Raw genomic sequence first — 17,235 nt, 5'->3', positions numbered from 1 at the left:
TTTGTTTCTGTAGCTAAAATATTATTTATTGATTATAGGCCATAGAAAGTTATTTATAATGAAACTATGCTTGATTATTCGAAGTACTGATTTTCACAAATGAAAGTTAAAACCACTAAAACAGTGATGTTGTGATAACCTGTGACCAAGGCATCAGCCATACTTGAAAATTTAACATTTAGCACAGGAGTTGAACCATAAACAAAAGGAAAATAAGTAAGTCCATGCCCTGTTCTCATCTTACACAGGGATTAGCCTGGATTTTGTCTTGGCTAGATTTGGGAATATTTTGACATAAATAAAGATGTATTTACTCACTTTGATAAGCTGTTTCCCTAGCAATAAATTAAAATAACCACATCACAATTTTCTTGATATCAAGTCAATAATGAATGTAAAGTATACATAATAGGCATACAATAGTTTGTTTGTTTATTTGTTTCTCATTTTACACTATTTCTGCTCTTTCCTGGTGTTGTGACATCATAGAGAGACACTACTGTCTCTCTTAACCTCCCTATTGAAAAGGCATTGTCCTGGGCTAGGGAAACCACAGTATGGCACAGTAAAACATTCAATAAAATTGAAGTATCCCCAGTTTTTATCTTCTGGCATACCATTTCAGAGAATCTTGAGGGAAAAACAATGACAGTGATATTGCTTGAATATTGTAGATGATTAGTCAGAATGAAATAATTGAATAATCAAAAAGGTCTGGATTCAAATTTTAGCTCTGTTACTTTCTAGGTGCATGACTCTAGATGAATTACTTAATCCCTCTGAGTTTTAGTTCTTCATCTATAAACTGTGAAAAATTACTCATCAGAGTTATTGGAGGAGTTAGAAACAATATATATGTAGTATATTCCATTTATTAGGTGCCACATGAAATAGAGAACCCGGATTTATGTTCCCCTGAAGAGGATTTCTGTTGTGTTGTGACTTCTGCACTGGGGTTTAAGGAGATAGCAACTCTTCAGCTTTGAGAGTTTCCCTCCTATTAATGCCTCACAAGGACGCGAAAAAAAGAAGATGAGAACAGATTTCTCTCTCTTTCAAACTGACTTTTATCTGCTTTTGCTTTTCTTTCATGTCCTGTTGAAAAGACTGTGATTTGAGAGAAACTACAACATTTTCATTGAAATTAGAGATAGAAAGGAATAAAATAATCATATGGTTTGGCTCTGTGTTCCCACCCAAATCTCACGTTGAATTGTGATCTTGAGTGTTGAAGGTGGAGCCTGGAGCAAAGTGATTGAATCATGGGGGTGGTTTCTAATGATTTGGCACCATCCCCCTAGTGCTGTCTTGTGATAGAGTTCTCACAAGATCTGGTAGTTTGAAAGTGTGTAGCTCTTCTGCCTTTGTGTGCTTTCTCTCTCTCCTGCTTCCAAGTCAAGATGTGCTGGCTTCTCCTTTGCCCTTCTGTCATTATTGTAAGTTTCATGAGGCCTCGGAGCCACGCTTCCTGTATAGCCTGCAGAACTGTGAGTCGATTAAAGCTCTTTTCTTCATAAATTACCCAGTCTCAAGTAGTTCGTTATAGCAGTGTGGAACGAATTTAATACAAAGAAAAAATAAGTGGATGAAATGAAAGCAAATTAAAATTAAAATAATTCCTATTAAAAGGTTCAGAGGGCCCACGATGGTGCATGCCTGTAATCCCAGCACTTTGGGAGGCCGAGGTGGGTGGATCATTTGAGGTCAGGAATTCAAGACCAGCCTGGCCAACATGGTGAAACCCCATCTTTACTAAAAATACAAAATTAGCCAGGCACGGTGGCTTGCGCCTGTAATCCCAGTTACGGGGGAGGCTGAGGCAGGAGAATCACTTGAAACTGGGAGGGGAGGTTGCAGTGAGTCAAGACTGTGTCACTGCACTCCCACCTGGGTGACAGAGCCAGGCTCTGTCTCAAAAAAAAAAAAAAGTTTCAGAGGCTGTGAACTTTGGTAGAACTCATGATACATGACGGAAAATGCCTGAAAGAATGAATGTGGATATTTTGAACTTCATTCTGGTATTTACAAGACAGATATTTTCAATACATGAATTGATTTTAATATGAAAAATAGAAGAGAAAAATCATCTTTTAATGGAAGAAATTTAAACAAAAACATTAATGGCACATTGGTTATATAATCATAAGTGGTAGTTATTTATTTCAATCATTCATTCATTTACTCAATCAAAACATATTTATTATGTACTGAGTGTAGGCTGGAGGATAATGAAGGAAAAAAGTAAACTCACTACTGGAACACCAACCTGCCTGCTACTATTTACTTTTCAGCAGTAAGAGCAGATTGGCTGCTTTGTGCATTACCAGGTTTCCTAGCTACATTCAGTGGGATAAACAGGGTATCTGTGCTTACTCTATCTTAACCAGAACTGAAACTAGACTCTCTTTTAAATTCAGTGAAGTTTTTGCCTCCTACACTCCTCTGAAAATGCTCCCATGAGGTCATCAGGATTCTCCATGGTTCTAAATCCAGTGTTTAATCTTTGTCTTCAACTTTGTTAAAATTTAAGCCTTTAATCAAATTTCACCTTCTCAGGGAGGTTAATTCTAACTACTTTATTTAATGCTATAAACTTCTCTTATACACCTCAGCTTTTCTGTGCCTTGCTTTACATTTTTTTCATAGCACTTTCATCTTCTCATATTTTAGACAATTCAGTAGTTTATTTTATTCATTTCTTGACTGTACTAAAATGTAATAACCATGATGTCAATGGTCTTTTATTCCACATGCCTAAGATAGTGGTAAGCCTAGAAGCCTTCAGCCAATATTTGTGGAATAAATGAATGTGCTTTAAGAATTTTTTAATTTTTTTCTTTGAAAATTTATTTTTTTTAATTTTCTATATGTTTTGTAGAAAAGTGTTAATGTAACAGACTGCTAGGTTTAGAAAGCTCTTTTTTTCCAGATTGGCCCTTGACTGGAATCCAGGAAACTGGATTTCAGAAAGGCCCCCACCATACCCAGAAATGATGAGTAGCATTTATTACATGCTTTTACAACTTATTGGTTGGGGAATTAAGTACATCCTGTATGATTCCACTGGGAGAGTCTCTTGCAAGCCTGCATCTGGTTTCATCCGGACTTTGTGTACTTTCCCTTGCTGATTTTGTTGTGTATCCTTTCACTCTAATAAGTCATAACCATGAGGAAGACTGTATTCAGAGTCCCGTGAGTTATCCTAGCGAATCATTAAAACTGGGAATTGTTTTGGGGAACACTGATGCACACCCCACACATAAATGTATATATATACACACAGACACACACACAGACATATCTATCTATCTATCTATCTATCTATCTATCTATCTATCTATCTATCTATCCAATTGGCACATATATGTGGCATAAATTTGTCAGATAAAAATATAATTGATAATTGCCTTCTTGCCTTATTTCCATTATTTCTATGTTTTCTTTTTATTTTATCTTCTATTGCTTATATTGGAAAATTTCCTCAACTGGGCAGACATAGTTGATTATTAATTGATATTTAAAAGTAATGCCTCTAACATAGATTGGCAGTTTTGTTTGTATTGATGGGAGTCTTTGCTTAAGAGTGACCAGTAAGTAAGCCAACAATTATATTGGAGATTCCTGAATATAAAACTTCAGATATCTTTTTTTTTCCTGGAAATATTTAACATGAGAATATTTCTCATGTTTATTTCCCATAAGACAAAGTCTTCCTACTGCTTTCCTCCATGTTTGGAGTGGTAATAGTAGTCATGGTGTATACTACCTTACCGACATTTTTTAGCTCTATGCCTCAGTTCAGACCTTTACTTGCTCTAAGGCCCCAGTCTGCTGTGTTTTTGAGGGCACATTGGCTGCCTTACCATTGACATCCTGCTCTGTTGGCACACAAGGCCTAAGGATCTCTCAGCCCTGCTTCATCAATTATCACCTACCCCATCTGCTTTTAATTTTCAAAAATTATGTTGAAATCTCTTATCATTGTGGCTACTTTTCTGCTTCTTCTGTTTTCTTTAATACTGTGGATTTATTCATTTTTATTAGTTTTACTATTGTGTTAATAAGGTCTTGAAACAGACAGACGATGGAAACCTCTGTTAAAGCCCAATTATAAACATCTTATTAACTATTTTACAAAATGATCTGTAGACAAAATCCCTGAGCAGGATGTTAGGCTGTCTACATGGTATGATTTCAGCAGTCACAAGATGTCTCTTCCCCCACAATCTCTGGTTTACCTGCTTCTTCACACATGAAATCCTTGTTCCATTAAATAAACGCTTTAATTCCACCAGTAGAGACAACAGTGAACAGGTAAATGTCTATGAAATGTTGGCATAATTCAGACTCATATTTAAAACGTAGACTTTAGATTTTTTACTGAGAGCAAAGTTTGAAAAGGAAAAAGTAAACCATAGTGTTAAGACTCTATACCTAAAAGTAGGAATTTGAGCAGCAAAATAAACATTGAAGCAATGTACACAAGATGGGATACTCAGTTATTAAAACCAATTCACTTCTGATAAGGTTATATAAAACACAATGTGAGCTGGACTGGGAAACAGACTTATAAACATACCCTTAGCATCACCAAAGTGTTCAGTGGTTTTCTGCTATGCCTGAAAGGGATTACACTAGTGGTATTAATTCCTCTTCACCTCTGCAATCTTATAATGCTTTAAAAATGTTTGTCCTGCAACTACAATTATGTTTGCTGATTTAAATTTAGCATTATTATTGATCTTTAAATATTACTATTTTTAAAATATTTGAACATATATCATTTTCTTGGATTTCCTTTTGTTGTTCCACAGTTAATGTTTCTCAAGTTTAAAGAATTTGTTTAAGAAAATCTTTATTTTGTCTTCATTTTCAGTAATTTACTACCCCTCATTGATACAAAACCCCTTCAGCTTGCAGATTTTTCTGCTCCATATTGCTATGAACAGCACTGCCATTAGGCCTTGACAAGAAAAGACCTATCCCAGGATTCAAGTTTTAGGAGCCCATACATGGGGAATGCCTTCCTTAAATTTTTGAAGTCCCACTTTGATGGCCAGGAGTGGCCTGAGCTGACAGTGTTATAGGAACAGGGCCAGTAAGCCTAGATTCAGACTTTTTGAGATCTCATTCTTGGGTTCCACTAGATGTCCCTATCAGAAACTTATCCCTATCAGAAACTTATATCCATAGAGTCATCCCAGGACCTGTGGCCGGGTCTCAGTTCTAAGAGGAAAGTCTGGAACCTCCCAGATGGCCAGTGCAGTATTTTCTTTAAAAGATCATGTGATATCCATCCACCAAAATGGTGTAAAGAAGATGATTTTGTGTCACTCATATATGTTATGCAATAAAACCTCTCCATAATAAGAAAATTTCAAGGTTCTGAGCTATCGTGATCCACTCTTCATGTAGTATGGACCCATGTATCAGCTTTCATTAATCTGTGATAGCACATCTAGTCTACAGCCCTCGAAGGCAGCAATTTTTGTGGCAGATATTATTTACACTGTGTGTCCCCTACTTCTGACATATAGGTGATCATTCCACTCTTCTGCTAATGTCATGTTCTGGTTCAGGGAGTCCTCCAGGGATGGCCATACCTTTCTCTCCAAGAGCTTTGGCGAACTCTACTCCAATCTGAACAGGTATTTTGATTCTTGCACTTTGTTGTCCCTAATTGATGTACTAATGTACTCTCCCAGATGTTATAAATGGAATAGACATTACTTACACAAATGTAACTGCTTTCATTCTGACCATGGACTTCTCATCTTTCCTCCCTGCTAGAAGCAAGGTGTGGAAGACAGGGGTGCATCATTTATATTTTTCTGCATACCCTGGATAAAACTTGCATTTGAAGTCATTATCGACAAAGAACAGTCACAATATTTGAGACAGTCATTAGAAACCAGTGCTCATGGGTGGCTCAGTGGATGGTGCAGTATCATGAGCCATGAGGCAACCAGCATTAAATAAATGGTACCAGAGAAATGCAGAGGCAAAAACATCCAGAGTTATGGCATTGTGATTAATAACAGCATTGCTGCCCTGCCTCTTATTGCAGTGAGATATGAAATTAGCTAGGAACAGTGCATTTGACAATAAATTACAGATAGAGATGGTCCCTGGACACTGTGAAGAGTCGTTGTTTACTGGTCAATAATGAATAATGTCAGCTTTCTTTTTTATTATTATAAATAATAATCAATAAATCACTATACCTTACATGGGCCCATGAATTTTATAAGTCCCTTTTAAATCAAATTATGTATATACATAGGAATCCCATACACACACCAAAATATTTGCCCAGAGCCCCACATACCCTAGGAGTAGCTCAGGCTATGAAAGCTAGTTCATATATTTTATCAAATGGTTTGAATTGGAAGAATCTATTGAACAATGATATTAGGATTTCAGTTTTCACTATTATATTTGACATAGTATATTTATCAATTAATAATTAAAGAGATCAGTTAAAAGAAAGATTTTAAAAGACATTGATATATAATTATTATTTTTCTAATTTATATGACCTTAGAATTTATTTCACAATTATGTGTTAATATGAAGTTTAGATAATTTTTGAAATCTCTAAAATCCAGGTAAATAAAACTTGATTAGTGTCTTGTCTATAATATCATAGATTCAGTTTGAATACAGCTAGTTTAATTATTGCCTTTACAATTTAAAAGGCAAATTATATTTATTATAGAACCTAAAATATCAACATTTTATACATTGGTACTACGTAGTTTCCTGTAATATTTTCGGAGTACTACATGTGTTATCACAAAAGCCAAGTTCTGGGGACCTCCAATATTCAAATTGAGATGAATTTTGTAAAATAGAGTATTAGGCAATAAAATTTTAAAAAGTGTTTTCTATTTTTCTGTTGAATAGAAAAATCGAGTTGCAGAAACAAACTTGCAGTTTGAAACAACTTATACATAGTTTAAAATTATTTACAACAGTAGAATATATATATATGATGAATCAAAGAAAATTTGTAAAATAATAAATGCCACCTTAACAATGGAGGATGTGGTGGGAAAAAGAAAAATGAATGAGGTTGAGAATAACCCTTCAGAAGTCTTCAATCATATTTTACTTTTTTATTGACAAGTATACCAGTATTTCTTTAATTATTCATTAAATCTTTGTCTATTACTAAAAAACATTGTAATAAGTTTTTTAAAAAATCTAAATACCTACTCTCTTTCCAAAAATACAAAATATATGCATAATAACTATTATATATAATAGCTATTATATAAATATACATATAGTAAGTATTATATATAATAGTTACACATTTGTATAATAGTTCTGTATGTATAACTATTATATATAATAGTTATTAAACAGAAGTTATATATAAAGTTATTATATAGCTATATATGTTATGTAAGTTATATATGTATAACTATTATATATGATATATACATAAAACTTTATATAGATATATAATATATAGAGATATATAGAGATATAATACATAGAGATTTAATATAGAGAGATATAATAGATATATAATATATCTATATAAAGTTAGTTATTATATATCTATATTATATATCTATATAAAATCAGTTATTATAATAAATACTAATAACTATAGTTTGCCAGGCAACTATAGTTTGCAAGTCAACATGGCCTTAACTATTCTAATTTTACAGTTGTTCTTTACATAAACCACAGCATGTTGGTCAGTGTATTAGTCTGTTTTGCGTTACTATAAAGGAATACCTGAGACTCGGTAATTGATAAAGAAAAGAGGTTTAGTTGGCTCAGAGTTCTGCAGGCTGTAGAGAAAGCATGGCAGTGGCATTTGCTCAGCTTCTAACGATACCTCAGGGAGCTTTTATTCCTGGTGAAAGGCAAAGGGGGAGCAGGCATGTCACATGGAGAGAGAAGTAGCAAGAGCAGAGAGAGGTGCCTGCCACACGAAGTCAGGAGATCGAGACCATCCTGGCTAATACGGTGAAACCCCGTCTCTACTAAAAATACAAAAAATTAGCCAGGAATGGTGGCAGGCGCCTGTAATCCCAGCTACTCGGGAGGCTGAGGCAGTTTGCTCTTTTCACTAGGATAGGATGTATCTCTCATTTTACACACCAGAAAACAGAACAAGAGAATTTATCTCTTGCCTCATATTCAAGCACTATATCTACTTAAGTACTGGTTCCTCATTCCCACTTCATTCTAAGGTATAACTATAGGGAAGTATGTGACATATGCTTATGTGAGTTATCTTTTTTTCTCTCTCTCTCTGTTTCTTTCATACTGATACATGGAAAGACAAACATCTCAGTCTTAAAGCTTTTGACCTGAATGTGATTGAGTTGTCTTATGATAATGTGACTTTGGGTAGCATAGTGTTGAGGGAGAGGATGTCTTGAGGAACCAGACAGGAAAAGGCAGAGATGCAGAAATGATGACAAGGGAAATATTACTAACATTTACAACCCTTAGAGACTGCTTATTTAATATTTGGACTTTTCTCATTCATAACTTTTAATCTCATTTATTCAACCCACTATTTGACTTACTTCTCCACACTCTAACTAGAATGAAAACATAATGTTAAATATTTTCTAATAAACTGCTATTTTGGAAATAGTGGAATAAGAAAGTTCAACCAGTTGTTTTCATGATCTACAGGACAGAATTAAATCACTTGCTTTTACGTCAGTGTCTGTGTATTTGGGGGAAACATTTATAAAACATGAATAAATATTCACTTGAAATTCTATAATTATGACAAATCCATTCCATTCAGGCCTATCCAACTGAGCTTTGCTCATGGAGATATCGTTACTGTAACAATGTTCTCCTGAGTGAAACAAAAGGAATTTAGCAAAACCAATAAGCAATCATGTTTTTTTACTTAAAACGTCAGCATACAGGCTGGCACCTTGGCTCACTCCTATAATGCTAAAACTTTGGGAGGTTGAGGTGGGTAGATCACTTGAGCTCAGAAGTTCAAGACCAGTCTGGGCAATATGGCAAAACTCCTTCTTGACAAAAAGTACAAAAATCAGTCGGGTGTGGTGGCATGTGCCTGTAGTCCCAACTACTTGGGAGGCTGAAGTGAGAGGATTGCTTGAGCCCAGGAGGTGGAGGTTGCCGTGGACCATAATTGTGCCACAACACTTCAGCCTGGATGACAGAGTGAGACCCTGTAGTTAAGTGGAATTACAAAAATCACTAAATATAGAGATTCTTCCTCAAATAAACTTATTTTCTTCCCTTACCCTTATGCATATCCACTAGTGAACCTTAAAAATCATAAAAACATTATGTTCAAAATAGTTATTAATTATTCTATGCTGTAAAGCTAAAAATGGCATAGGATTCATGAGGATCAGAAGGATAAAAGTACTCCTAAAGTGAACATAAAACAGTGAAATGTTCTTTTCATTTAACTGAGAGAAATAAAGAAACAGAGCTAAAAGGGAAGAAATTAAGATGAGATTTGAAAATAATTTCCATATTTCTATTTTGTTTCTGATAGCTTTGTTGTAGTCATTCAGGCCAAGGATGTTGTTTATGCTTAAACATTTCTCTTGCCACACTGATTTTTTTCACGAATATCAGCAAAAATATGTCATTAGAAATACACACATATACATGCATATGTGTATTTCTATTAAACATCAGCTTTTTCAGATGCATTGCTCCTACTTAGCCGAATTTCCCACCATTTATTTGAGGCACAGGGGAGCTGAAGACAAGATGAATTTTAAGGTTATATATCTGGAGTAAAATAGTCTCTACCTATTTAATGGTATGAATTCAGAATTAACAGCAAAGGAACTCAAAGGAATATACCTAAAACTGGTCACGTTAAAGAGCCAGAATTCTCACATTGACTACATCAATAGGTCGTTAAGAATCTAAGACCTTATAGAATGTTGGCATAAGGTGAACAAATTAATCTGTGATTTCCCAGTATTGATTTAGCTTGAATTCATTTGTGAGATTGTTTTAACAGAAAACAAGCCTTGTGGTTCAGAGTCTAAGACACATCAGTTTGGGATGGGAAGAAGTCTAAATCAAGAGACAGCATGCATTCTGCCTTGAATGGTGAAAATAAAATTAGGCATTTAGCTAAGAATCAATTGTATTTATACAACAACATAAAATAAAAACCACTTACTTTAACTGACTTGTGCAGATAGCTTCAAAAGTCAGATGCGACTTCATAGAACATGTATCCAACACTTCAACCTTCCCTTCATGTAAGAATCTTTTCTATCTGACTGAAAATCATTTGGCCTCTCCTGAAACAATTTTAGTGATGGATGGATCATTACTTCAAAAAGAAGCTGCATACGTGGGGATGCCTGGCACTAGAAAGAGCTTCTCCTTGCCATTCTCAGTTCTAGCTTTGGGGTAGTCCAGAGTAAATTTAAGCCCATGTTTACCTGATAGCCCTAGACACATATGAGATGCTTTTCAAATTCTTCCCTAAGTTAATCAACTAGAATTTCCTCAATTATTCTATATAAATTAGAATTTGTAAGGCAGTTTTAGTGTTTGTTTTATTTTGATAAAATGAACAAAATGATAAAAGCTATCACAGCCTCAGCTCAAGACATGAGCAGGCTTCCATAACAATGTACATAATTGCCGCTTTGAAACCATTTCAGACAGAATGCAAACAAAAATCTAACCAGGTTTTGAAGAAGAGTTAACCACGTTGGAGACATAAGGTAGGAATCAGAAAATAGAATTACTATAGGCATGAATCTAGGAAGGCCTCTAAAAAAAACCTAATAATATTAAGATCCTGCATTGGTAGTCCTACTGGTTAAATGTCTATTTTTCTATCAGAATATTCAGGTGGTCTAATGACTAAAGCAAGATGGAAATTAACATTGCACAATAATGTACACTGTAACTGCTAAGACTTGTGTCTTTTATTTTTGTAGGCAGGATGAGGGCATCTCTGTCAGAGTTCCATTTTTTGTGTGTTTTTTTTTTTTTTTTTTTTTTGACGGAGTTTCGCTCTTGTCGCCCAGGCTGGAGTGCAGTGGTGTGATCTCGGCTCACTGCGACATCCGGCCTCCCAGTTCAAGTGACTCTCCTGCCTCAGCCTCCTGAGTAGCTGGGATTACAGGTACCCACCACCACACGTGGCTAATTTTTGTATTTTTAGTAGAGATGGGGTTTTGCCATGTTGGCAAGGCTGGTCTCGAACTCCTGACTTTAGGTGATATGCCCACCTTGGCCTCCCAAAGTGCTGGGATTGCAGGTGTGAGCCACTGCGCCTGGCCCAGAGTTCCATTTTGTTAAGTGGCAACCTGAAAGTATTTTTTGTATGGCAATTCAAATATATACAAAGAGTGTGAGTAAGCAAAGAGATGATTTGTGTGTGTCCATTTTTACATATTGTTTTTGGCAGCAAATCTAAACTTCTAATTCTCCTCTGTGATACTAAGGCTGAAACTGGGCAAATGACATCACCAAGATTCTTTGCTACCTGGATCTATGTTAAATACTGCCAAGGGGAGTAACTACAGTGAAATAAAAAGGCAGAAAACAGAAAAAAAGTCTTCTTGTTTATTTTAAATGAACTTATTAAGGTATAATTAACATACAACAAACTGCACATATTTAAAATATGCAATTGGCTAAGTTTGGCCTGTGTATACATCCAAGAAAATGTAACCATGATCAAGATACTGAATATATCTATCACCTCCAGAAGTTTCCTGCTTTTCCTTGTAATCCCTTTCTCTCACTCCTCCCACCCTGTCTCCAGACAACCACTAATGAGCATTCAGTCCCTGTAACTTAGTTTGCATTTTTGAGAATTTTATATAAATGTAATCATATAGTTTGGATTATTCTATGTTTGGTTTTTTTACTCATCCTGACTTTTTGTGAATCACTCATGTTGTTGCGGGTATCGGTAGTTCATTGCATTCTATTGCTCAGTAATATTCCATTGTACAGGCCTACCAAAATTTATCCGTTCACATATTAATAGAAATTTTTGCATTTTTTGGTTATTGCAAATAAGGCAACAATGAACATCCCTATGCAAGTTTTATTATGGACATATGCATTCTCTTCTCTTGGATAAATACCTAGGAGTTGGATGTCCAGTTAATATAGCAGTTGTATGTTTAAATTTATCAATCTTCTAAGGTGTTTTTTTCCGAAGTGGCTGTACAATTTCACATTCCTCCTATCCATGTAGGAGAATTCCAGTTTTTCCAAATTCTGTCAAAATTTGATATGGTCAGTCTTTTTAATTTTAGTAATTGTGATCAATGTGTAGTGGTATTTTATTGTGGATTTAACTATGTTTTCCTAATGACTAATGATGTTGAATATCTTTTTATATGCTTATTTGTCTCCCATATATTTTTGGTGAAGTGACTGTTCAACTAACCATTTTGTCCATTTTTTATTTGAATATTTGATTTTTTTTGAGACGGAGTTTCACCCTATCACCCAGGCTGGAGTGCAGTGGTGCAATCTTGGCTCACTGCAACCTCTCCCTCCTGGGTTCAAATTATTCTCCTGCCTCAGCCTCCTGAGTAGCTGGGATTACAGGCTCATGCCACCACACCTGGCTAACTTTTTGTATTTTGGTAGAGATGGGTTTCGCCACGTTGGCTAAGCTGGTCTCAAACTCCCGACCTCAAATGATCCGCCCGCCTAGGCCTCACAAATTGCTGGGATTACAGACATTAGCCACTACCCCTGGCCAGCCACGGCACCTGGCCTATTTTTGAGTTTTGAGAATTCTTTATATAATCTGAATGCAAACCCATTATCAAATCAATGTTTTGCAAGTTCTTTCTCCTAGTTTGCAGCTTACCTTTTAATGCTCTTAACACTGTCCTAACAGATTGTTTCTTAATTTTGATGAAGACTAATTTATCAATTTATTTCTTCTATGTATTCTGCTTTTAGTGTTGTATCTGAAAAGTCTTTGCTTATGCCAATACCATAGATTATCTCCTATGTTTTCTTCTAGAAATGTTGTAGTTTTAGATTTAAAATTTTCTTCTATGATACATCTTGAGTTAATTTATGTATATAGCATGAGGTATGGATCAAAATACACTCAAAAAATATTTTTGCTTTTGAATATTCATTTGGTATTATACCATTTGCTGGGAAGACTATCCTTTCTCCATTGAACTTGCCTTTGTCAAATATCTGCTGCCTATATATGCATGTGTCTATTTCTGGACTTTCTGATCTGTTCCATTGGCTTATTCTTCTGTCTTAATGTTTAGTATCATTTTATATTGATTATTGTTTCTTTATTATGGATCTTGAAATCTGGTAATATCCCTCCCTCACTTTGTTCTTCTTTAACTTTGTTTTGGCTATTCTTACTGCTTTGCATTTCTATATGAACTCCAGAATAAGTTTGTCAAATTCCACAAAATGTTAGCTGGAATTTTGAGGAATTGCATTGTTTCCTTATATCAACTTGTAAACAATTTGCTTCTTACAATATTGAAAATGTTTACCTGGTAAGAGGTATGTCTCTCCATTGAGTTGTGTTCATCTCAGTAATATTTTACAGCTTACAGTGTGCTGGTCTTGTACATTTCTGTCAGGTTAATGAATATAGTTCTTTTTTTATGGTACATATATTTTTCAAAATTTTAATTTGCAATTGTTTGTTGCTAATAAACAGGATTACAATTATTTTTATATTAATCTGTAATCCTACAGTCTTGCTAAAAACACTTAATACTTCTTGTAGCTTTGTATATAGGAAATCATGTCTGTATCAATAAAGACAGTTTCACTTCTTCCTTTACAATTAGGACAGCTTTAATTTCTTTGTTTTGCTTTATTGCTTAGCTAGAATGTCCAGTACATATTCCAGAACCTCTGATTCTAAGGGAAAGACATTTAGTTTTTAATTATTAAATATCACATTGAGTAAAAGTTTCTGTAATTGTTCATTTATCAGGTGAAGAAAGTTTCTTTTTTTTTCTTAGTTTGCTGAGAGTTTTTATAATAAAGACAATGCTTCCTGTTGGAGTATAGCACAGTCATACTTACCATCCATTTTAAAGAATTATGATTCTCTAAACTTAATAATCATTTTTGGTAATTTAACTCATTTTGTGTTCTGGTATCTTCTAGTCCTATTTGTGTCACGTGTGAAAATTAAATCTTTGTGAATTGGCTGAAAATTGCCGTTACTCTGTAATTAGTGCTATAAGTAATAAACTGTCTTTCATCTCTGACCTAGGAGTTTTGTGTCTTCTAAAAATATCCTTGAAAATATGGCAGACTCTTTCAAGCTAAGTAAAATATTGAAAGCTACAGAGCTCTTGAGAGTACTAAGTTCCGTTTTCTTTAGGTCTAAGAGTGAGATTTCAAAAAAAGAAACAGTTTTATAGTGAAGATGCCTAAAGGGAACACATAGTTCATCATGACTATGAAGCCCAAGAGCATGAAGTTAGAAGTTGTCTCTCAAGGGTTCTGGCTAAGCCCATAAGTCCAATACATAGAAAGCTCTGAGAGTCCTAATTTAAAAAGTAATTATCATGAAATACAGTAAACTGAATAATTTCATTTAGTTTATCAAACACCAGGTGCTAAATTCCTTGAAAGCATTAACTAATTTAATTATTATAATAACTCCATCCCTTTGTTATGTGTCAGCATTTTCACAGCATTTCACTCAAATCAGCTTACAATGTTTCACTGGAATTTTAAGGTCTGCTTGGTAGCAGTGCAATGAGAGGAAACAGATAATCTGTTTTTGCTTGCTTGTTTGCTTTTTTTGTTTTAAATCTGGCACTCTCAACTTCAACATGGCTTCCAGGAAATGATAATCATGTTTTATCAGTAATTAGTATTCTAAAGAAAGGTACTCACCCTCTTCTGTACACATTCCACATGCCAAGTGGTATGTTACTCAAACATCACAGCTGCACAAACATATGTGGGTTATGTACACAATGTATCACTCCCATGCCCACACACACATGCACACACTCTCTCTCTCACACACACACAGACACACACACATGCACCCAGATTTTTTGGCAGTTGCTTTTGTTGTATTTCTACATAACAGGCTTATGGCTTCCAAGAGTGATAAGATAAGAGAATTATGCTGAATAGGCACCATTTTCTACTCATTACAATACTAAGTTATAGGAATAAACTATTGAGACTACTGATTTGACAGAGTAATGTACTTGCTCAAATACAAATCAATGACAACACAGCTAAAAATGCTATTGTCTCACTAGAGTATCAATGGTAGAGCAAGCATGTATTCCAATGTTCTGAACTATTGAGATGCTTAAGATTATATGAACAGCTGAAACACATAAATTTCCGGAAGCTTGTTTCTAATCAGTACTTTAGCTAATTGTGCCTATCCTGACACTTCTCTTCTCCACCTTTTGTAAAATTGTCCACAATGAAGGTCTTAACATGCCGAAGAGTGACAAAATATCAATCATTATTCTTGGAAGTAAACACATCAGCACAAGTTTCCTCTCTACTTTTTTTTTTTTACTCAATAAGCACCATATTTGATATGGAAGGATCGTATAAGGATCCTAAGTCACAAAGTCAGATAGACTTTGAAAGGCAAATAATACCATCTTCTGAGTCTCATATTTTATTCTACTTTTTACTTTGTACATTTCTTGTAAAAACACAATACAACAAAATATATAAAATGCCCACAAAATTCCTGGAATTTGTCCGGGCACAGTGGCTCATGCCTGTAATCCCAGCACTTTGGGAGGCTGAGGTGGGCAGATCACCTGAGTTCAGGAGTTTGAGACCAGCCTGGCCAACATGGTGAAACCCCGTCTCTACTAAAAATACAAAAATTAGCCAAGCGTGATGGCAAGTACCTGTAATCCCAGCTACTCTGGAGGCTGAGGCAGGAGAATCACTTGAACCCAGGAGGCGGAGGTTGCAGTGAGCCGAGATCGAGTCATTGCACTCCAGCCTAGGCAACAAGAAAGACTTTGTCTCAAAAAGAAAAAAAAAATGCTGGAATTTAATGACTAGTAAGTCTTTTTTTTTTTTTTTTTTTTTTTTAAATTTTTTTTTTTATTATACTCTAAGTTTTAGGGTACATGTGCACATTGTGCAGGTTAGTTACATATGTATACATGTGCCATGCTGGTGCGCTGCACCCACTAACGTGTCATCTAGCATTAGGTATATCTCCCAATGCTATCCCTCCCCCCTCCCCCGACCCCACCACAGTCCCCAGAGTGTGATATTCCCCTTCCTGTGTCCATGTGATCTCATTGTTCAATTCCCACCTATGAGTGAGAATATGCGGTGTTTGGTTTTTTGTTCTTGCGATAGTTTACTGAGAATGATGGTTTCCAATTTCATCCATGTCCCTACAAAGGACATGAACTCATCATTTTTTATGGCTGCATAGTATTCCATGGTGTATATGTGCCACATTTTCTTAAAACCACTATGAGATATCATCTCACACCAGTTAGAATGGCAATCATTAAAAAGTCAGGAAACAACAGGTGCTGGAGAGGATGTGGAGAAATAGGAACACTTTTACACTGTTGGTGGGACTGTAAACTAGTTCAACCATTGTGGAAGTCAGTGTGGCGATTCCTCAGGGATCTAGAACTAGTAAGTCTTTCTTATACTCCCCCTTTTTCCAGTAGCTCCCATGGCTTACATATGGCAGCAACCATAAGAAATTTAAAAACAAAAACAAAAAAACCCTTAGTAATAAATTTTTAAAAAGACATTAACAACCTTCCAATTTGTTGATCAATGAATGATAGAATCTCCAAATATTACTGTGAAAAATATTTCTACTAAAGGAGATCAGGAAATGCCACCACAAAATATGCAGCTTGGGCATGCTGACTAATGGAAACTGAGGGCACTTGGGGAACAGCAAACGCAGGAAGGGACTTTCTCTGAACTTCCTTAATCTGCCTAAAGACAGATTGCCCAGAACGAGCACAATTGTCACGAAACCCCTCCGCAGGAACCTCATCAACTCAGATGGTTAGGAAAGGTTAACTCAAGAGGAGAAGAAACTGGAGGTGACGTCATGCCTAGACAGAATTTGTCACAGGCTGTCACCTCTTCTTTTGAGGGCTCATTCATCTTTCTCAAAAATCATTTATTCTCATCTAAATTGCCTACCTCTCCCTTCCACTCTCCCTAATGAAGAGGGCATGTAAGCTTCTAGATCTCATTGAGTTTCATATACTCACTTTTCTT

At 35.4% G+C, this 17,235-nt stretch overlaps 1 long non-coding RNA gene across 1 annotated transcript in view; it reads left to right on the top strand.

Moving 5' to 3' along the window:
- The first annotated feature begins 1,336 nt into the window (after nt 1-1,336).
- Nucleotides 1,337-17,235, top strand: part of LOC105372088 (uncharacterized) — a 122,698-nt gene continuing 106,799 nt past the window's right edge. The window contains exons 1-2 of the long non-coding RNA XR_935415.3: nt 1,337-1,487; nt 5,538-5,648. This is a non-coding gene — a long non-coding RNA (uncharacterized LOC105372088). The remainder of the gene's footprint in view (nt 1,488-5,537; nt 5,649-17,235) is intronic.

This window comes from Homo sapiens, chromosome 18, assembly GCF_000001405.40.
Source record: "Homo sapiens chromosome 18, GRCh38.p14 Primary Assembly".
Lineage (NCBI taxonomy): Eukaryota > Metazoa > Chordata > Mammalia > Primates > Hominidae > Homo > Homo sapiens.
This window is presented reverse-complemented; position numbering and strand designations above follow the sequence as displayed.